Below are 19,847 nucleotides of genomic sequence, written 5' to 3'. Positions count from 1 at the left end.
GATTGGGTTTGGAGAGCTGGAAGTCTTCTAAGTAATTATTGGTCCAGCTCCCTTTTTTCTATATAGGGCAATGACTCCTCTTATTTCAAAGAGTGGTTTAGAAGAAAGACAAGCCTCCAACTAGGACAACTGACTCTCACTTGCTGGCCCTTTCCCCAACTCCACCAGCCTAGCTTTAGAGCAACTGTTGGTTGCACTTGGGGAAGGGATACAGTAATAATTCAATTGCAGAGTCAGAGTCCTCGGAAACACGGCTGGGCTGGGCATCCTAGGAATTTTCCCAAGGTGCTTAGAGGCCTAGCAAATCCCCTGAGCATATTTTACTCCCCAGGCACTGAGGTGGCTGTGTCGTGAACTCCTTGAACTGAGCAGCCAGGAGCAAAGAAGGTGGAGCGTCTGGCTGGAATATCCAGCAACGCCCCCTCCCTCATCACCTGGCAGCCTTGATTGAAAACTTATTAAGAAACTGTTCAAGGTTTCCAGCCACACCATGTCTCTTACTGGCAAGGTGGAATAGGACTGGTGCAGCATGAGCACTGAAATCTGTCCCAGGAGTGCCAGTAGAGCACCACTACATGACTTCAGGGACCCCTAGGACCTCAGAGAATATGGTCTAAGCTGTAAGGATCCAGAGTTCGCCTGCTGCTTGGGAATAGGAAAGTGAAGGACGGGCACCCTACCTGCTAGTTGAACTACAGAGGCCTCCTTGAATTGGCCAGGGGTGTCCTGGGAAGAAGTGGGCCAACCCAGGTCAGGCGCGGTGCTGCCAGGCCCCAGGAACTGGTGGAGAGGTTGCTTTTCCAGCACATTAGAGTGCAAAGGTGGTGTCTTCTCAGGGGTTAATGCCTCTTGCATCTCTCTTTCTCTCCTATGCCCTACCCAATTCAAATGGAAATTTTCCTCTTCTCTACCACAAATCTCTAAAGTTAGCTCAGAGGAGACTTGTCTCAGTTATCAGCGGCAGGATTTGAGGGCGGGAAGAGGGACATGGCAAACAAACGAATGAACGAAGGTGTTGTTTCATTCTGTGGCTTTAATCTGGGAGGAGGAGATTAATGGGTTATTGATGACCTCTGCAATAGCCAACTTTCCACCTGGGTCACTGCCCGGGGACAGGTGTCAGCAGCTTGGGAGTTGCACAAACCAAGCAAACACCTGTGATTTGCTGGGCGTTAGGGGTAGGGGGTAGGCAGACACAAAAATCGAGAAGGTCTCTCTATTCTGGCAGGACAGTAGCAAGGATATAGACAAAATCACTTAAGGCCTAAGAAATATTGGTGGTTGAGGGAGATATGAGCCACAGGATGGAACATCAAACTGCCACCTTGGGGCTGGAGTGCCGGGAGCTTGCAGGAGAAGGTGGCATTTGGGCCAGGACTAAAGATTTGGAGAGGAATTCCTCAAGTGGAAAGATTCTTCTTTCTGGGTAAGGCTGTGCGAAGTACTGTTCATCATCTAGGCAGGGGACTCTCTGGGTACAAACTACCCCCAGAAGCTGGAGGGGCGTTTGTTGGGCTAACGTTCTCCAGGCGGCAACCGGGTGAGCTGCGTTCTCCCCCACAGCCCAGTCCCTCTCCTGCTTTTGAGGGCGCTCATTAAGGAGCCATTAGTCACCCAACACACACAGACTGGTCCTCCGCCCCACAAATTAAAACACACACGTACGGGTTAACCAACTCGGCTGCTAGGCCGCCACCTTGGGTTGGGGCGGATTAGACCCCCGGAGCAGTCAGCCCCACTCTCCAAGTCAGGAGAAGGCGGAGGAGGGTTTAGGGTTTCTTTGAATCACGGAGGCAAAGTTTAGGGTTCCGTGCTGGATGAGCTCCGTCTAAGTGTGTGGAATCACGCTGGAGTGGGAAACCTCGTCCATGCCTCTTTCCAAAGAACCCCTGAGCAAGAAGGGCTCGGAAACATTTCTAGGGGTGGCCTGTCCAACTAGCTCTGCACCACCGTCCCCGCCTTCCACTTCTTGCGGCGTTTTGAGTCCTGGGGCTTTTTAAACCGCGCTGCTAGCGGTCTCTGCCCGGAGCCCGCCTCTTCTGCGGAGCCTGCTGCGCTTTGAGATCGCCGCCTGCGCCCAAGCTCCCTGAAACTCCAACAGTGTCCGAAACCCGGGCAGGAAAGACCCTCTCGTCGAATGGCTCTCCCCCCTTCTTCTGCTTTTGTCTGAGCCCAAGACTGGCTTCCAGAAAAACCGCACATGAATCTTGCTCCTCCTTCCAGTCAAGCCGCGCTGGCACACAAGCAGGTAGATTTATGGTGCCCTGCCCCCATCCCACCCCACCCCCAGCCGGCCTCAGTCGGAGGACAAAAGCGTCCCGGGGCCATTGGAATGCTAATGTCTGGGAGCCAGGCCGCTGGGCTGGCACAAAGGTAGGCGGGGCCCGGGGCGCACGCGACCCCACAGGCGCATACTGTTCCTTCTCTCCCTCGCGGACTACCGAGCGGTGTGACCTTGGACAAGTCTCCTTGCCTCAGCTAATCCACAAGAGAAGTTGGAAAGAGTTCCTAATATCCTTTCGCTGGGTTTCTGGGTGCCTAACACAAGGCTGGCACAAGGTGAACGGCGTCACAGTCCCCTCAAGACCGGAAGCGGTGAAAAAAACCCTTCAGACCCTGAGACTAGAGACAGTGTGGGGAAGGTATGGGGGATTCACCTGAGAATGTGGCACAGAACAACCGCTGGGTACATTGTAATTACATTTATGTAAGGAATACTCTCTGCTGTGAGGCTTTCCGTCTGCCCCCTTTAAAAATCCCTGCAGACAGATTTCAACAAAAGTGTGTGAGAGAGTGGAGGGGTGGGGTGGGGGGTGGTGACACTGCTAACCTTACCTGGCTGTTCTGCCTTCCAAGGGCCAAGTGAGCAGTAAATGACTTGAGGCTAGACACTTTTTATTTCCGGTACCCTCCTAGAGCCAGTGAGGTGTGCAAGGCAGTGTGGTCACACCTATGGAAAGAGAGAAGATGACTTGCCCAAGGCCCTCAATCACTAGGCGAGTTATTGCAACAAACTAGGACTGACACCCTGGTTCTAAGCTAGCAGTTTGGAACTCTTTCCTCTGTGCCCATAGATAAGAGTACTGGAGATGGCGAATCAGTCTATAGTAATATGTCCTTTGGCTAGAACTGGGTCCTTGTGGTCTTATAAGGTCCAGGGGTCCCTGAGCTTTGGCCTCCCTGGACCCCTGACGAAGTTCCAGTCTCCTGTCTGCTGTCTCTGCTTCTGGGATCTGTGGGCCAAGGCCGACGGAGCGGACGCCTGTCCAGCTAAGGCTGTCTAGCAGTTGCTCTGAGATCCCGAAATGCAGCTGCGCGCCCCTGACCATGGTGCTGAAATGACCACGTAGATCCAGCGCGAGAGATGCGTCTGGGAGTGAGGCGTTCTCATACTGGAAACAACCTATCAACCCCCTCTGCCCACGATTCCAGTTCGTAGTCCTAGGGAGGCCCCTGTGGACATGCAGACCCAGAGGACTGTCAGGTTTCCCTAGTGCGATAAGGAAAGCAAGGGCTCTGTTGCTACTAACTGACTTGCCCTTCTCTCTGTGCACCTTAGGGCTCCCACCCTTACAAATTATGGAGCTAGAATTAAGTAACTAGCTTAGGACTTTCTGATAGCATCTGAGAGGTCCGAGGTGAACAACCTTTAAAATTTAAGCTGAGGCAGCCCTAGCTGGGAGAACTGGTTTGGAACTTTGCCCTCAACCGGACTCTCATTCTTTGGGTTACAAGCTTTAGTTATTCCAAGAACAAAGCCCAAAGGAAGTCCTCCAGATGCATACACAGGAGATTAGAGTGGTTAAAAGATATGACTTTAGAACCCCACAGACATAGGTTCAAGTTCCAGTCTGCCACAACCTAGTGGTTTTCAATTAAACCTCCTTGTCTCTCCTAAGAACCCTTTTCCTCATTTATGAAGATGGGACAATAAATAGTAGCCACTTAATTGGGCTATTGTACTGATTAAACATGCTTATCCAGCCTTCTAAGCCTCCATAAGTGGTATTTACTATAATTAGCTCTTTATTTGCCTCAAATTCTTCTCTTTCTCAGCTGGGCACAGTGTCTCATGCCAGCACTTTGGGAGGCCGAGGTGGGCAGATCACTTGAAGCCAGGAGCTTGAGACTAGCCTGGCCAACATAGCAAAATCCCATCTCTACTAAAAATTTAAAAATTAGCCAGCCATGGTAGAACACACCTGCAATCCCAGCTACTCAGGTGGCCGAGACATGAGACTTGCTTGAACCCAGGAGGTAGAGGTTGCAGAGAGCCGAAATCGCACCACTGTACCACAGCCTGGGCAACAGAGTGAGGCCCTGTCTCAAAAAAAAAAAAAAGAAATCTTCTCATTCTCCCCCATTTTGGGGAGGAGAGGGCTTTTGTATGAATTTGAATTTTCTCTGCACCCCTGTGTATTGTAAACTAGGAGAAAGGCCAAGAGTCACCCATCCCTTCCTGGTAAACTTACCGTTTCTGAGCTCTAAGATCAAATGTTCAGATGTCCCTAGGGCACTCCAAATAAGAAGTCCAAAATGGAAATCCTCTCCTGGTTCCCCAAGCTAATGCTGTCCCCTTTTCCTGATCTCACTAAGTAGCATCCCTCATACTAGAAATCTGGGGTTCATCTTGATCTCTCACTACCCATATCTAGTTAACCCTCAAGTCCTGCTGATTTTCTTTCTCGTTTTTTGTTGAACATGGCTCCTTCTTTGCTTTCTTGTGACCACTGCCCTAGTTCAGGCTTTTATCCCTTATCTGCAGAGAATACCTAACTGATCTCTCTACCTCTAGTCCTTTTTTTTTTTTTTTTTTTTTGAGATAGAATCTCACTCTGTCTCCCAGGCCAGGGTATAGTGGTATGATCATGGCTCACTGCAGCCTTGATCTTCCGGGCTCAAGTGATCCTCCCACCTCAGCATCCCAAGTAGCTGGGATCACAGGCATATGCCACCACACAGCTAATTTTTAAAAACAATTTTTGTAGAGATGGGGTCCCACTATGTTGGCCTGGCTTGTCTTGAACTCCTGGGCTCAAGTGATCCTTCCACCTTGGCCTCCCAAAGTGCTGAGATTACAGGCATGAGCCACCACATCTGGCCCCACCTCTAATCTTGACACTCATCATTGTACCCTCCATGCAGCAGCCAGAGTTCCCATCTAATATGTGAATATAACATTGTAACTCTCCTGTTTAATCTTCAAATGGTTTCCCATCATTGCATAGGATAAAGCTGATGTTCTAACTAGGAATAATTTTATAGTGTGAGCTGTGAATTTATATGAATCTGGGCTCAATTTCCAGCTGGTTCACTAACAATCAGTATAAACATGCACAAATTCCTTAATCTTTCTTTCCATTTCTTTATCCATAAAATGGGGATAGCGATATTACTTTTTAGGGTTCTAGTAAGCTTAAAGCTTGGTTGCTGTAGGAGAGACTCTCTAATAATTCAATCTGAGGTGAGTATTCCAGGTGGGTGGGAACCTCTGCTCCATGACATCATTCTGGGACTAGGATCCTTTCATCTTCTTCCTCCACCAGCTCCCAGATCCTTGCCAACCAAATGGTTGAAGTTTCATTGCCATAAGTTCCAGCCAGGGGAAAGGGGAAATAAGGCATGGAGGAGGCTTACCCACAGCCTTAAAACTTATGCTCAGAAGTAGCACACATCACCTCTGCTCACATTTCACAAAAAGAATATGATCACGTGGCCTCATCTAGCTGGAAGAGCGACTATGTGCCTAGAAGACGTGAAGAATGTATTCTGGCAGGCAGTGGGCAGACTCTACCACAGCATCGTGGTCTGGATTAAATTGGATTACATATGCTATTATTATTTGTTTTCATCATCAAAAGTCAGGTATGCTTATGGCCAGAGTCCTGCCACACCAGTCTCTTTCTCACAATGCCTCATTTGCCTTGATATTTACCCTCCAGAAGTGATGACCTGCTTGAAGTTTTCCCTTTACACACACTCAGGTACCCCTTCAATGCTTTTCCCCCCATCCCACACACACACTGTTCTGTCTGTCTAAACCTTCTCTCTTTTTTTCCCTCCCCAAACCTTCAACATGGATATCACCTCTGCCTGGGAGCTTTCTCTGTACTATGCCTCCTTCCTTGCTCCCTGCTCCCATAATATCCTGTGCATGTGAATATTGTAGCATTTTGCAGGTAGTGTAGTGATTGTTTATCTGCACTGTCCATTGATCTGTGAGATCTCCTCAAGGGCAGGGACTATGTTCATCTTCATGTCTCCAATGAGAAGAACACTGATTACCCATTTTGGACTAAATGTCATATATTTTGTTATTATTTTTTGTTTTTTGAGACAGGGTCTCACTCCAGTTGCCCAGGCTGGAGTGCAGTGATGTGATCACAGCTCACTGCAACCTCAACCTCCCGAGTTCAGGTGATTCTCCCACCTCAGCCTCCTGAGTAGCTGAGACTACAGGTGTGCACCACCACAGCTGGCTAATTTTTTGTATTTTTAGTAGAGATGGGGTTTTGCCATGTTGCCCAGGCTGGTCTCAAACTCCTAGATTCAAGCAATCCTCCCATCTCAGCCTCCTCAAATGTTGGGATTACAGGTGTGAGCCACTGTGCCCAGCCCAAATGCCACATGTTTTCAGAATGAATTAATGAGTGAGTGAATTGACTATTAATAAATGAATAAAAGGCATTGCAATTATTTGCTTAGAAATCTTTATCCCTCCCCAGAATGGCTAGCACATAAAGGCCAAGGAATTTTGTTGAATAAATGAATGGATGAATGAGTCATATAGAGACCCACTAACCCTCCTGCTTCATATCCTCTGCACAAAAATAACCTGTCCTTTGCTGCCTATAAATCTATTTCAGAAGATGTCCCATCTGACTAAGTAAGAACAGATTATCACAACAGTACCATATCATTGTTTCTGAGATCATGGTAACAATGCCAGTAGTTCATGTGTAGGTGATCCCTCCTGAGAAACTGAGATCCCTCCTGAGTGAGTGGAAAGAGCATGAGGCTTGGGATCTATCTCAACTCCAGTACTTCCTAATCCTATTACCTTGGGCAAGTTACTTAGCCTCTGCAAGTAACTTGCTGTAGCTGTAGTTTCTCCAGCTACAAAAATGGAGAAAACCGTGCTTACCTCACAGGATTTCATGAGATGAAGATGAGGCAGACTCATTATAGCACCCATCTCGTCTCCGTCTTATTCCTACAGATGGGTAGTGAAGAAAGCATGAGCCAGAACTGACCTTCCCAAATTAACCAGGCAAGTGTGATGGGACTTGCCCAAGCACCCAAACCTGATCATTACGGAGACAAACTGAGGCTCCTGCTAACATAACATCATCACCAGCTACACTGCCTCTGTTGTACTAGTTAGCTATTGCTGCATAACAAATTACCCAAAACTTAGCTCCTTAAAGCAAGAAACATTTATCATGTGTGGCTTCTGTGGGTCAGGAATCCAGGTGTGGCTTAGCTGGTTCAGGTGTCTCATGAGGCTGCAGTCAGAGAGGGTCAGCTGGGAATATGGTCTCACCTGATGGCTTGACTAGGGTAGGAGCCACTTCCAAGCCCACTCGTGTGGTTGTTGGCAGAATTCAATTCCTCAAAGGCTGTTGCAATGAGGGCCCCAGTTCCTCACTGGCTTTTGGCCAGAGACATCCTTTATCTCCTTGCCATGTTGGCCTCTCCATAGGGTGGCTCACAGCATGGCAACTGGCTTCCCTCAATGCAAGCAACCAAGGTGTGAAGGGGGGACATCCAAGACAGAGACATGAATACCAGGAGGCAGAGATCATGGTGGGTATTTTACAGGCTGCCCATCACATTGACAGTAACAGAAACCTTTGCTTCCAATTGCTTCTCGGCCTTTTGGCTGAGATCAAACATAGAAATCTTTGCTACCTGCTTTCCACACCCCAGAGACAGGCAGACAGACATATGTACACACACACACAAACACACACACACACACACACACACACACACACACATGCATACACACACCACTACCTCCTCAGGGTCAAATACACCAGAGTTCAAAAAAAGAAAGCCCAGGTAATTTGACTACTGGGGTTAAAGCAGATGTCTCCCTATCCCCAGTACTGGGTTGGCTTCCAAGAAGGGCCCAGGGGACTGCTATGTGTGCATTTGAGCCACCCCAGCTGATACCTGACATCCATTCACACAGGCTTTCACAGGCCTCCCTGCCCCCACTCCCGAAGGCATAGATTTAGGATGTCTGGGGCCTGAACACTGCACCCACTGAAGGGAAATTTACTGCCTCTAGAGAACCAGGGCCTGACTTGGGGTCTTGAATGCATCTTTTTCCCCTTTGCCTCTGCTTTATTAGGTTAATCATTGCTTGAATCGGTTGCCATGGTTTGGGCAAACCCATGGCGACTCTATAATGAAGCCTGAAAGACTCGGACCCCATTTATCATCCCCAGTGTTTGGGAGGCCCAGAGCCTCATTTGCCTCCCCCAGGGTCTGGGCACCACCCTTCTGCCTGGGGCCCCCAGGGCCCTTTTGAATGAGGAATGAACAGGTGGCTACTTGGAAGGGGAGACGAGGAGACCCACACAGGTGGAGTGAGCAGCACACTGCACATTCCCCCACCACACACACACACACACACACACACACACACACACACACACAATTATTTTTGTTTTTCCATTCCTGAAGTTCAGACACAGACCAAATGCACAGGCAGCTCTCTGACTTTTTCTTTCTGGGAAGTGGGCGGCAAAAGAAAGATCTTTAGTTAAAAAGGGTCTGTGGCTGCCCTTAGAAATAAGGGGACCCATGTCTCAGCAGATCCAGGTGTTGTTACACTCTTTATTCCCTGAGCATAGATTGAGTGGCATTGCAATCTTGCAATTAGTTGGGGACAGATGGAGCCAAGTCTAGTGAGGAACTAGAGGCATACAGAGGTTCAGCAACATGTTCAAGGTCACTCATGGTAGAACCCATGGTAGAACCCAGAGCAAGTCAAATGTATTATGGAAAATTTCAAAAGTAGAGAGAAGAGCATAATGAATTCTCAGCTATTCATCACCCAGATTCAGGAATTATCTACTCAGAGACAATTATATTTCACCTACATCCCCACCCATTTTTCCTGGCACTTTCTTCATGAATTATTTTGAAACAAATTCCAGATAGCATGTAATTTCCACAGTAAATCCTTCCCCAATATCCTTTTTTGCTCAGCAGAAATTGCATATATAATGCTGTAGCTGAGAGTATTGAATCCAAAGACAGACAGCCAGCCTGGAGAAGTTCAAATCCAAGCCTTGCCCCTTCTTAGATGTGTGACATTCAGCCAATGGCCTAATGTCTCTGAGGCTCAGTTTCCTCAACTATAAAAGGATACAATGTTACTTTTCTCATAGAGTAATTGTCAAGATTAAATAAAGTAACACAAGACAAGTGCCAGCACCTGTGCAGAATAAATGGTGGCTTTTAAGATTTCCACTCTTGTGACCATTGCACCACCAGGAATGACTGTCATCCTGGCAGGAGGTCAGCTCTTGACCTCCAGTGTCCAGGTCTCTTGGTGCAGTCCCCTGAAATGAAGGCAAGTGCCTCATCGTCATGGCCCTCTACCTGGCACTGAATTCTGACAACACAGACCTCAGCAGTGAACCTGGCTCCAGTTGCTGACAGCCCCTGGCATCTACTGCTCACAGTGTACTAAATTCTGCACCATGAACCCCACAGTGAACAAGGCCAGGTCCCCCCTTCTTCTGCTCTTGCATCTCAGGCTTTCTAACCTCTGATCCCATTTGTTAGCAGGAATTGACATACCTGCCTCAGGGTTGTATGTGTGTGTGCCATGTGTTGCACTTGTTTCTGTGTGTGTGCTGTCACTACGTGTGAACCAGCACATCCCTGAGCTTCCGTGTGCTCATCCTGCAACCTGCCCTCTTGCAGTTTCTGGTTGACTGACAGAGACCAGAGGAAAACTGGTCAAGCAAAGGCATGAAGGTATAAGCACAGCACTGAGACTTCCTGGAGGAGGTAGGGAGAAAACTCTGCCAAATACATAAGACTGAGAACAGAAAAGAGGGGCAGGCAGAGGGCTCTCTGCAGGCTGAAGGCGTGGGAAGGGAAGAAGCCTGCCTGGGTGCATTGTATAGGTGAGGTCTGAGTCCCGATAGCTGACCTCTTCAGGAGAGGTTTATTCCAGGAAATCACCCACACTCCCAGGATCCAAGCTCTGAAGGGATCTCTGGGCTGAAACGGCATGTCCTCCCCACAAATCACCTATCTTTGCTTAACAACAACTACTTTTTATTGAGAGTATACTATGTCTAGGCACACTGCTAGTGCTTTCCATTTGTTAGTCTCTGAGATCATAGACTAATTATTAGAATTATTATTCCCATTTTACAAATGATAACACTGATATTGGTTAAAAAACATGCTGCCAGTTACCCAGTAGAGGTGGAGTTAGACTTGGACCCATGCTGTCCTGACCCAGAGCCAGTGCTTTTAACCACTGCTACTTTGCATCACTGATATGCTCCCCTTTTCTTTTCTTTGTTTTTTGAGTTTGGATTTTGGATACTTCCAAACATAGACAAAAGCAGAAAGAATAGAATAATGTGTCTTCACGCATCATTCCTTAGCTTCTGCAACCACCAATTCATTACCAACCTCATTTCATCGGTTTGCCTCCACCCCAAACCTGCACGGACTTTTTTTGGTGGAATATTTTAAAGTACATCCCAGGTATCTATCATCCACTGGTAAATTCTTCAGTGTCCATTTTTAAATGGTAAGAATATTTTTAAAAACATAACCACCAAACTATTTTTACAATGCATGAGAAATTCTGAAACATGATCTAGTATCCAGTCATAGGCAAAAGTCTCTAATTGTCTTTTTTTTAAAAGTACAAACAAACAAAAATCCTCCCAGCCTGTATCCCAGATGCCTGCTGGAGGCCAGGACCAAGGCTCCAGTACCAGCCTAACCCCAGGGCTTGGTGGGACCAGCCTTGAGCAATTCACTTCCCTCCCCTCTTGTCCCTACCAGCCCCCACCCAAAAGTATGGTGACCAGTCATCTTGGTTTGTCCTGGACTTTTCCGGTGTTAGCACTGCAAGTCCCGTGTCCCTGGCAAACCCAGATGGTTGGTCACCCTCCAAGGAGCCAGAAGCCTGGAGCTCCCCCCAGTCCACCCCCAGCCCCCACTTCCTTGTAGCTCCAGTGTGGGGTCACCCACCAAGAGCAGAAGGAGACCACCACTGAATTTCAAGGGCCCTCAGAATGACAAATAATCTACCGAAAGCTTTCAGGGGCCCAGGTGTGCCTGGCTCTGGCAAGGAGAGAGCATGAAGCCCCCAGCCGCCAGTGAAGAATCTGGGAGCTTTTCACACCCAGGGGCCAAATTCAGCAATCTCCTCCCTCCGTCTTTTCCCCTTTCCAGATCTAATGACAATCCAAAGAGTTCCTGATAGGGTTTTAAAAGATGCTCCTTCATTCACGTCCACCAAGCATGAAAATCCAGCTCGTTTGTCTCCATTCTTCCCGCTAAAGGCCTAGCCGGCCTAGAGCCTGCAGCCTCAAACTTGTCATTCACTTTTCACTTCCTTTTGTTGGATTGCCTTTATTTCATTCTTCTGTCCCCTCCAGGCACCCTCCTCTCCCCCTCCTCACTCCATCCCTGGCCTTCTCCCCCCACCCTCCCCCTAGCACTTCCTAGTCCCTGGTCCACACACAAAAAGCAACAGACCAGTCTGAGAATTTCTTTACAGTTCCCGTGCTCTCCACCCCCACCCCGCCTCTTCTCACTCACTGCTTTTAAAAAGTGGTTGCAAAAAGCCAGCAACAGCTCAAAAGGACTCCAGGAAGAAAACTCCCTCAAGCCCAGGCTGGAAACGGCCTCAGAGACCACTGAGTCCCATTCTTTGGTTTCACAGCTGTGGAGGCTGAAGGCCAGAGAGGAGAAGAGACTGGCCCAGGGTCACAACAGAGATAGTGGCAGAGCAGGGTCCAGCCCCGAGTGCACCAGGGGCTCAGCCTGGACTCCCCCACTTAGAATGGATGGCTACGCCTCTGTCCCCTTGACACAGACTCTATCCCTCAGGTAGGACTCTGGTTGTCTGGGCCTAGAGTCGTGGCTTGAAAGCAGGGGCCATGTCCAGGACATCGCTGTGTCCCTTGAATACTTAGCAAGTGGTAGGTGTTCAGTGGCAGCGGTGGTATTTTTAATAAAACTGAACTGAACGAATGTGGCGGCCAGGCTGTCCCCTGCTCTTTGGGCCTCTTACTGGACACCTTATGGGCCATGGCTTTGCTGTAGGCCTAGGGAATAATGGCTGAGACTCTGGGCCCACAGGAGGGGAGGGGAGGTAGAAAGAGGTGTATGTTTAGCAGGCAGACCCCTTTCCAGTCACTGCCTCTTGTGAGAACAATCAACACTTGGGGCAAAGGAGAGAGGTGAGCCCCCTTTCTTTAAGGGCAAGGAAAGTAGATCGGGAAACCTCAGCCCCTAACCCCAACAAGGGCAGGGTGGTGGCGATGGGCATCTAATCTATGACAACATGAAACAGGAGGGAGGGAGACAGGATGTGGTTCCCACAGACCTCAGTGAGAACCTCCAGCCTGGTGCTAGTGAAGGGAGGGGGGCTGAGCATGGGGCCAACCTCAGCCTCAGAAGGAGGCATAGGTCAGGTTCATGAGCACAAACCTATGGAGCTGGGCCTCTCCTCTGCAACCTGTGTGAAAGGGGCCACCAGCCACCCACCTGCCCAAGCTAGAACCCTGGTGCCACTCTCACCTCGCCTGCCTGGGTACTGTCCTCTGCAATGCCTGTGGATCCCGCCCTGTCCTGCCTCTTGAAGGGCACTGTTCCCCAGCCACACAGGGAGTCCTGCCTGGAGCCTCCCCACCACCTCTCCCTCTAGGGCCACCCACATGTCATCACCTAATCTTCCTGCCTGCAGCGCCTGTCTCTCCTCTGCCCAGACCTTTCCAGGAGGCCTGAGAGCTGCCTCCCTCCTTAGTAGATTGTAGCGCTCAACAGCACCGGCTTCAGAGTCAGGCTCCTTGAGTTCAGGTGACAAATCTATCACCTACCAGCTTGGTGATTGTAGGAGACCTCTTTAAACCCCAATGTCATTTGTGAAATAGGAATAATTATAGTACCTCTCTCAAAGGATAGCTATAAAGATTAAGTATAGAATCTGTAATATAATATATGGTAAGTGTATACTATATAAAATATAAAAGGAGGAGACTGCATGAAGCCATCAGCGACTGTTAGCTGTTGTTATTGATGATGTTGTTGTCATGGTCATGATTAGTGATTTTCTCTACTTTTAAAATTTTTATCATGCCCATATATTACTTTCAGTTTTTAAGAAATTGATCCAGCCTTTGTTTTCAGTATTATCTAATGCCTTAAAATAGCCAAATTTGTTGGCCCAGACAATCCTCCTGAGGAAATTATCAGAAATTGCATTAAAATGTCTCAACAAAGGTATTCATAACATTATCTTTCATAATGAGAAAAAAATTAGATACAAAGGGAAGTGTTCAACCATGGAGAACAGATATTTTCTATGTATCACACAATAGGTTACAATACCCATAGAAAACTGTGTTGTAAAATACTGCTTACTGACATGGGAAATATTCACAACATGTTGCTTAGTTGAAAAAACAAACTGGATTTTAAACAAGATGACAGACAAGGTAACATGCAAATCATTCCACCAGAAAATATCTAAAAATTCTGGATAAAAAATGATAAACATTCTTTTAGAGGTATGGAATGAAACCATTTGTACAAAAGATATAGGCACGTTTATGCTTAGGAAAAAACATCTTGAAAAACATTCATTAACTAAGCGGTGCAATCGCAGGATTTCCTCTCACTTCTACATTTTGTTAGTTTTTTGCACTGAGCTTGTATTATTTTCAAGTTAGAGGGTAATGTCATCACTTAAAAGCTTCAATTAATGAATACAGTGGTATTTCAATTTTTTTTTTTTTTTTTTTAGATGGAGTCTCGCTCTGTCGCCCAGGCTGGAGTGCAGCGGTTCAAGCAAATCTGCCTCAGCCTCCGGAGTAGCTGGGATTACAGGCGCCCCCCAACCACACCCAGCTAATTTTTGTATTTTTAGTGGAGATGGGGTTTCGCCATGTTGACCAGGCTGGTCTCAAACTCCTGACTTTAGGTGATCCACCCACCTCAACCTCCCAAAGTGCTGGGATTACAGGTGTGAGCCACTGTGCCCAGCTACAGTGGTACTTCAATTTTTTTTTAATGCCTATGGTGGAATGGCAGGAATAGCTTCTTTGATGTGGAACACTTTGCACTGGTGAAAGCCTCGCGGGGGAAGTGTGGATGTGAAGGGCCTGGGAGAGGCGCTCAAAGGCTGAGAAGTGAGTGAGTAAGGAAGAGAAAGGGAATTTGAGCTCCTGCCTCCCAACTCAAAGACTAATGATCTTTCCTCGTTTCTCTCCAATTTCCCACTGTACCATGTGGAGTTTGAGAAAGGAATGTAAAAGAAATTGAATGAGCCAATCACCTTGGAATTTGCTGAGTTCCTCTATGTACCCTGATCTGTGGTGGGGACTCTGGGAATTCAAGTAGGTCCAGGTCCCACACACCTGGCCTGCTTGGGAAATGCGCTCTTCTTTATAGAAACATTTAGTCCAAACCGCGGTTTAATCAGTTCAATATTAACGTGGTATGTTTCAAAAATATGTAACCATTTTAGATAGGAATCTTTCTGCGGTGAGATGAATAGTGGCCCTCCAATAGAAATATCCACCGGGACATTGTAAATGTGACCGTGTTTAGAAAAAGGGTCTTTGCAAATATAATTAAGTTAAGGATCTCAAGATGAGATCGTCCTGGATTAGGGGAGGCCCTAAATCCAAAAACAAGTCCGTATAAGAAAAGAGAAGAAGAAACAGACATGAGACGCATTGAAGTCCATGTGAAGACAGGCAGAGACGGGAGTTAGGTAGCCACAAGCCAGGGAATGCCAGGGGCCGCCAGAAGCCGGAAGGGACATGGAAGGAGTCTGTCCTGTAGGCTTTGGAGGAAGTGTTGTCCTGCCAACTCGAGGATTTCTGACCTCTGGCCTCTAGAATTGTGAGAGAATACATTTCTGTTGTTTTAAGCCACCCAGTATGTAGTAACTTGTTACAGTGGCCCAGTGAATGAACACACTCTCTTAAAAGTATTGCATGATTTCGTACCTGCTTAAACAGAGCACATGCCATCCTCAAGTGTGTAGCAAATAATAAAAGCACAGCAAGTGTTAGTTCCTTGTGTCTGCCTGTCTAGGTGATTAGGGAGCTATCACAAATGTGTTTGGCCCAGTTCCGTGCACCCCTGGATCTCCTGAGATGTGCTCATCCCTTTGTCACATGCCCCAAACTGCTGTGGGGCCTGAGCTCCTATCTCTGCTGCCCTTGTCTACTCTAGCTTGCCCGGCTCTGGCAGCGGGTCACCCACTTTCTAGTGTGCTGCCCCTCATCACGTATGGCCTGGGGAGCCAGTTAGCCAAGCTCTCAGTGGGACAGTGCTCAAAAGAAGAATAAATGTAATCTAGGTGCAGACCCATGAGCCTTCCCTGGGAATGATATGCGTAAGCCTTGTTTCTTGGACGCTGTGCCATCAGGACCATGCCACAGGATGGGAAGGAGAGAGGCCTCGTATAATGCGGTAGGGGCAGGGACTCTACTGTATCAGCTAGGGGACTCTACTAAGTACACATTTCAAAGTAGATGCGGCCTTGCTACCTCAGGCAGAGTTCCCAGCCTCAGCACTTGTGAGGGAAGAGGGTTTCTACAATGACTGAGGTGGTCCAAGTCACAGCAGAATAAGGAGTCCCAGGAGGCTACCTGGAGATGGAGGAACTTTTTAAGGAGGGAAGAATTTCAGGATGAAGAGGCAATGAGAGATGGTGAAATGAGCATGGAATTTGAGCCCAAAGATCTGGTCAAATCCCAGCTCACTTGCTGTTAACATTTGGTAGACATCTTTCCAGATATATATATATATATACATATATACACATATATATATATACATATATACATATATATATATACATATATACATATATATATACATATATACATATATATATATATACACATATATGTATATATATATGTTAGTTGCTTTCCCTTTCTCATCTATGACAAAGTTAGTATCTGATTTGCCTATGTTCCTGGGCTAAGGGGAGGTTAAAATGAGAACACTTTTGGTACTGCAGATGTGTGCTGGGGGAGGGGTCTACAAGTGGTTGATGGACATTTGCTGGAAGAACTTGGCTTCTTTTGTTAGCCGTCCTGCCTAGGGGACTAACGCTGCCAGGAACAGCCTGGACCAGGGAGGTGGGGAGAAGTGGCAGGAGAGATCAGCATTCCCACTTCCTGCAGCAGGTCATCCATCAGCCCTGACAAACTCGACCCCCCTCAAGGGTTCCTGCTCAGGCCCCAGCTGCTGAGCAACGGCAGGTACAGGCATGGAGCAGGAACCCCTCCTGGGCCCTCACACCCTCCTCTTAGATCAATAGACACAGTGGGCTCTGTCGACCTGGCTGGGACATGGAAGATTAACGGAGCAGGTGCAGGCTGGGGTGGGACAGTCACCTGGCCTGACAAGGTCCCTCATGGAGAGTGAGTGCCCAACGCAGGCCAGGAACAAAGCCTGATGCCCCTGATGCCCACCCCACCCCCCCCCCAGACTCCCCTACCCTTACTGGGTCTCCCACAGAGGTGGGGGAGTGCTACCTAGATGCCCCTGGAGCCCAACTTGTGGCACCAGCTTTAAAATAAATATTTTCCTTATTTCTTCAATTTCTCAAGTAACTCACTGCAGAAAGTATAGATTAGTAAAAGATTTTAAATCACTTGTTAATCCTACCACCCAGAGAGAACCACTGTTTATATTTGGTAGATATTATATCTCTCTCTCTATCTTTCTATCTACACACACACACGCATATGAAGAGACAGAGAGAGAGAGAGAGAGAAAGAGAGAGAGAGAGATCAGTCTATACTTTTTGTCTTATAATCTTTTTACCCTTAATATCTTATGAACCTCTTTTGGTGCTAATGAAATACAGATCTACTTCCTCATTTTAATCACTACAAATATCCTGTGTACTGAGGCAAAGTATTATATTTAACCAAAAATCCCCTACTGGATACTTAAGTTGTGTCCAATTTTTGCCCTTTATTGATAAGACTGAGATGAACATTTTTATACATATATCTTTTTTTTTCTTGAGACCAAGTCTTGCTCAGGCACCCAGGCTGGAGTGCAATGGCACGATCTCAGCTAACTGTACCCTCTGCCTCCTGGGTTCAAGTGATCCTCCTGCCTCAGCCTCCAGAGTAGCTGGGATTACAGGTGTGTGCCACCACTCCCGGCTAATTTTTGTATTTTTTTAGTAGAGATGGGGTTTCACCATATTGCCCAGGCTGGTCTCAAACTCCTGACCTCAGGCGATCCACTTGCCTCAACCTCGCAAAGTGCTGTGATTACAGGCATGAGCTACTGTGCCCAGCCTATCTTTTTATTATTTCTTTAGAAAAATGTCCTCAAAGTAGAACTGTTAGGTCAGAGGCTATGTGCTATTTAAGGCTTTTGCTACATACTGCTAGAGGATTGTACTTGTGTTATGGAAGCCTGTGGACTGTGCATCCTGGACGGGAGTGAGGAAGAAAGGGTAGGAGGAGGGCACTCCGTGGCTGGAGGTTGGAATGGAGGCCAATGTAGCATGGCTCCCACCCTCCAGGGGTTTGTCATCCAGCCTTCCAACCAGAGAGAGGAGTTGCTGAGTTGGCAGATAAGAAGCCCCATGCTCCTGGGAGGTGGGTACCCTGGGAGCAGCATAGAAGTCAGGGTGAAGAAGGAAAAATCTTTGCCGGAGATTAAAACAGGGAAGATTTCCCAGAGGCGGCAAAATTTCTACTAGCTTTGAAAAAGGAGAAGGATATGACTATTCATCATGAGTATTCCAGGTGAGAAAGGGCCAGGAAAAAGTGCTCCACTTCCCATAGTGGGGATGGGTTGGGGGGACAACCCCCTACCATGTGAGTTGAGTCTTCAAAAGGGCAAAGCCTTGCCCCATGGCCAGATATAAACCGACAACAGAAGCAACCTCCGATACTTATTGGCTTTGTGACCATGAGCAACTCACTGAGCCATTCTGCCCCTCAGTTTTCCCATCTGCAAGTGGGGACCGTAGTTATATCATGCTCACGCAATAGCTGTGGGGACTGAGTGGGCTGCATCTTTTGTAAATTATGATTAGTCTAAGGGATTTCATCATTAAAAAGTAGACGCTACTTTCTCATTGCCATCCTAAAAGCTAAAGTATAGCTTTATATTTTCATGTTCGATTTCTGGAAGATCTTCCCCGCCTACAGGACACTGAGACCCAGGACTCCCAGGACTCCCAGGACCAGATCCCTGGGAGCCAAGGGGAGGAAAGAAAATGGACAATTACAGAAAGCCTAGCAAGTGCTGCCACTCTACGATCCTTCTGTCGTCGCATCCTTACAACATCTCAATGAGGTAGGAGTTTTATTACTTGTTTTATTTGACAGATGAAAAAACTGAGGTACCGAGCATTCAGTTGACCTTGATTGACACTGCTGATAGGCAGCCAGGACTCAACTCCAGGTCTGTCTGACCCCAGAACCCTTGAGCCTTCCCTGGGTGAGGTGTCAGCAGAGCTGAGATTACCTCTCAGCATCACTTTGGGCTAGGAACCCTGTGGAGTACAACTGGGGCTGTGTAATGTGGGATCTGAGGCTGTGGAGATGCAAAGCAGGTTGTCCCGCAGGCTCTCCCCCATGCTAACACCACCACTGGCCTCCTCTGCATGGGGCAGCCAGCTGGTAGCCTGACCTTGTGTCTCTGACAATGATTTAACCACTGGAGTGAAAGTTTAGGGGAGGGATCAGTAAAGTTGCCAATGGGGGAGAGGCTTTAGCTCCAGCCTCTTGGCTCAGCCACTAGTTGGGGGTGGGAAAAAGAGGACCCAGGGAGAGGCCAGGGGAACTTCTGATTCTGCTTGTGTTTCCCACACGACACCAAGAGACCTGCTGCACCCATGAAGTTCTTTGTCTCATCCCCCATCCTAGGTCCAGCTTCCCTTAGAATAAACTCAGGCAGTTCTGAAATATTGTCCCTCTTTTCTCTTTGCCCATCTGGAGAGAGCTTGACTGGCCACAGAATATAGCAGAAATCACACTGGCCTAGATTCCCAGAGACCTGGGCTCATATCGCAGCTGCCCTACTGTCTGTGCACAGACCCCAGTGCAAGTGCTTCAGGGCAAGCAAGCAACGTGCATGAGTGGCAGGGCTCAGTGAGGGCTGTGGTCACCTGGAGAGGCCCCATGCCCCTAAAGGGCCCAAGAACCACTTAAATCCAGCTTACTATTTCTATGTAGCAATTAAGACTTAGAATTCAAGAGAAACTGGAAATTCAGATTTGTGTGTGAAATCTTCCCAATGTCAGCAAATAACTGGAAAAAAAAAAAAAAAAAAGAACACAGCGTGGGCCAAACAAAGTAAGTCTGTAAGTAGCCCTAGGCTGGAGTCTCTGATCTAGATAAGGAAACCGTAAAGGCCAGAAGGAACCACTACAAGATATTATTTAGCACAATTTCTTTGTTCTAGATGGCGAAACTGAGGCCAGAATGCGGAGGTGGGAGTGGGGAGGAGCATAACTCAGTTAGGCTTACATAGAAAATTAGTGGCCCAGCTAGGCAAGGAATCCAGATCTTCTTCCCCCAGCTTGTGCCATTGCCATAACTTGCCTGGCTGAGTGGGGCAGAGATATTGTA

At 47.7% G+C, this 19,847-nt stretch overlaps 1 annotated feature.

Moving 5' to 3' along the window:
• Nucleotides 665-1,243: an enhancer, noted in NCBI's record as "NANOG hESC enhancer chr10:71329867-71330445 (GRCh37/hg19 assembly coordinates)". NCBI's record gives its function as "activates a minimal SCP1, AML or CMV promoter by ChIP-STARR-seq in naive and primed H9 embryonic stem cells {active_cell/tissue: H9 hESC(naive and primed)}" and the evidence as "EXISTENCE:reporter gene assay evidence [ECO:0000049][PMID:30033119]".

Source organism: Homo sapiens, chromosome 10 (assembly GCF_000001405.40).
Source record: "Homo sapiens chromosome 10, GRCh38.p14 Primary Assembly".
Taxonomy (NCBI): domain Eukaryota; kingdom Metazoa; phylum Chordata; class Mammalia; order Primates; family Hominidae; genus Homo; species Homo sapiens.
The sequence above is the reverse complement of the archived record's forward strand: the minus strand, read 5'-3'. Positions and strand labels throughout refer to the sequence as shown.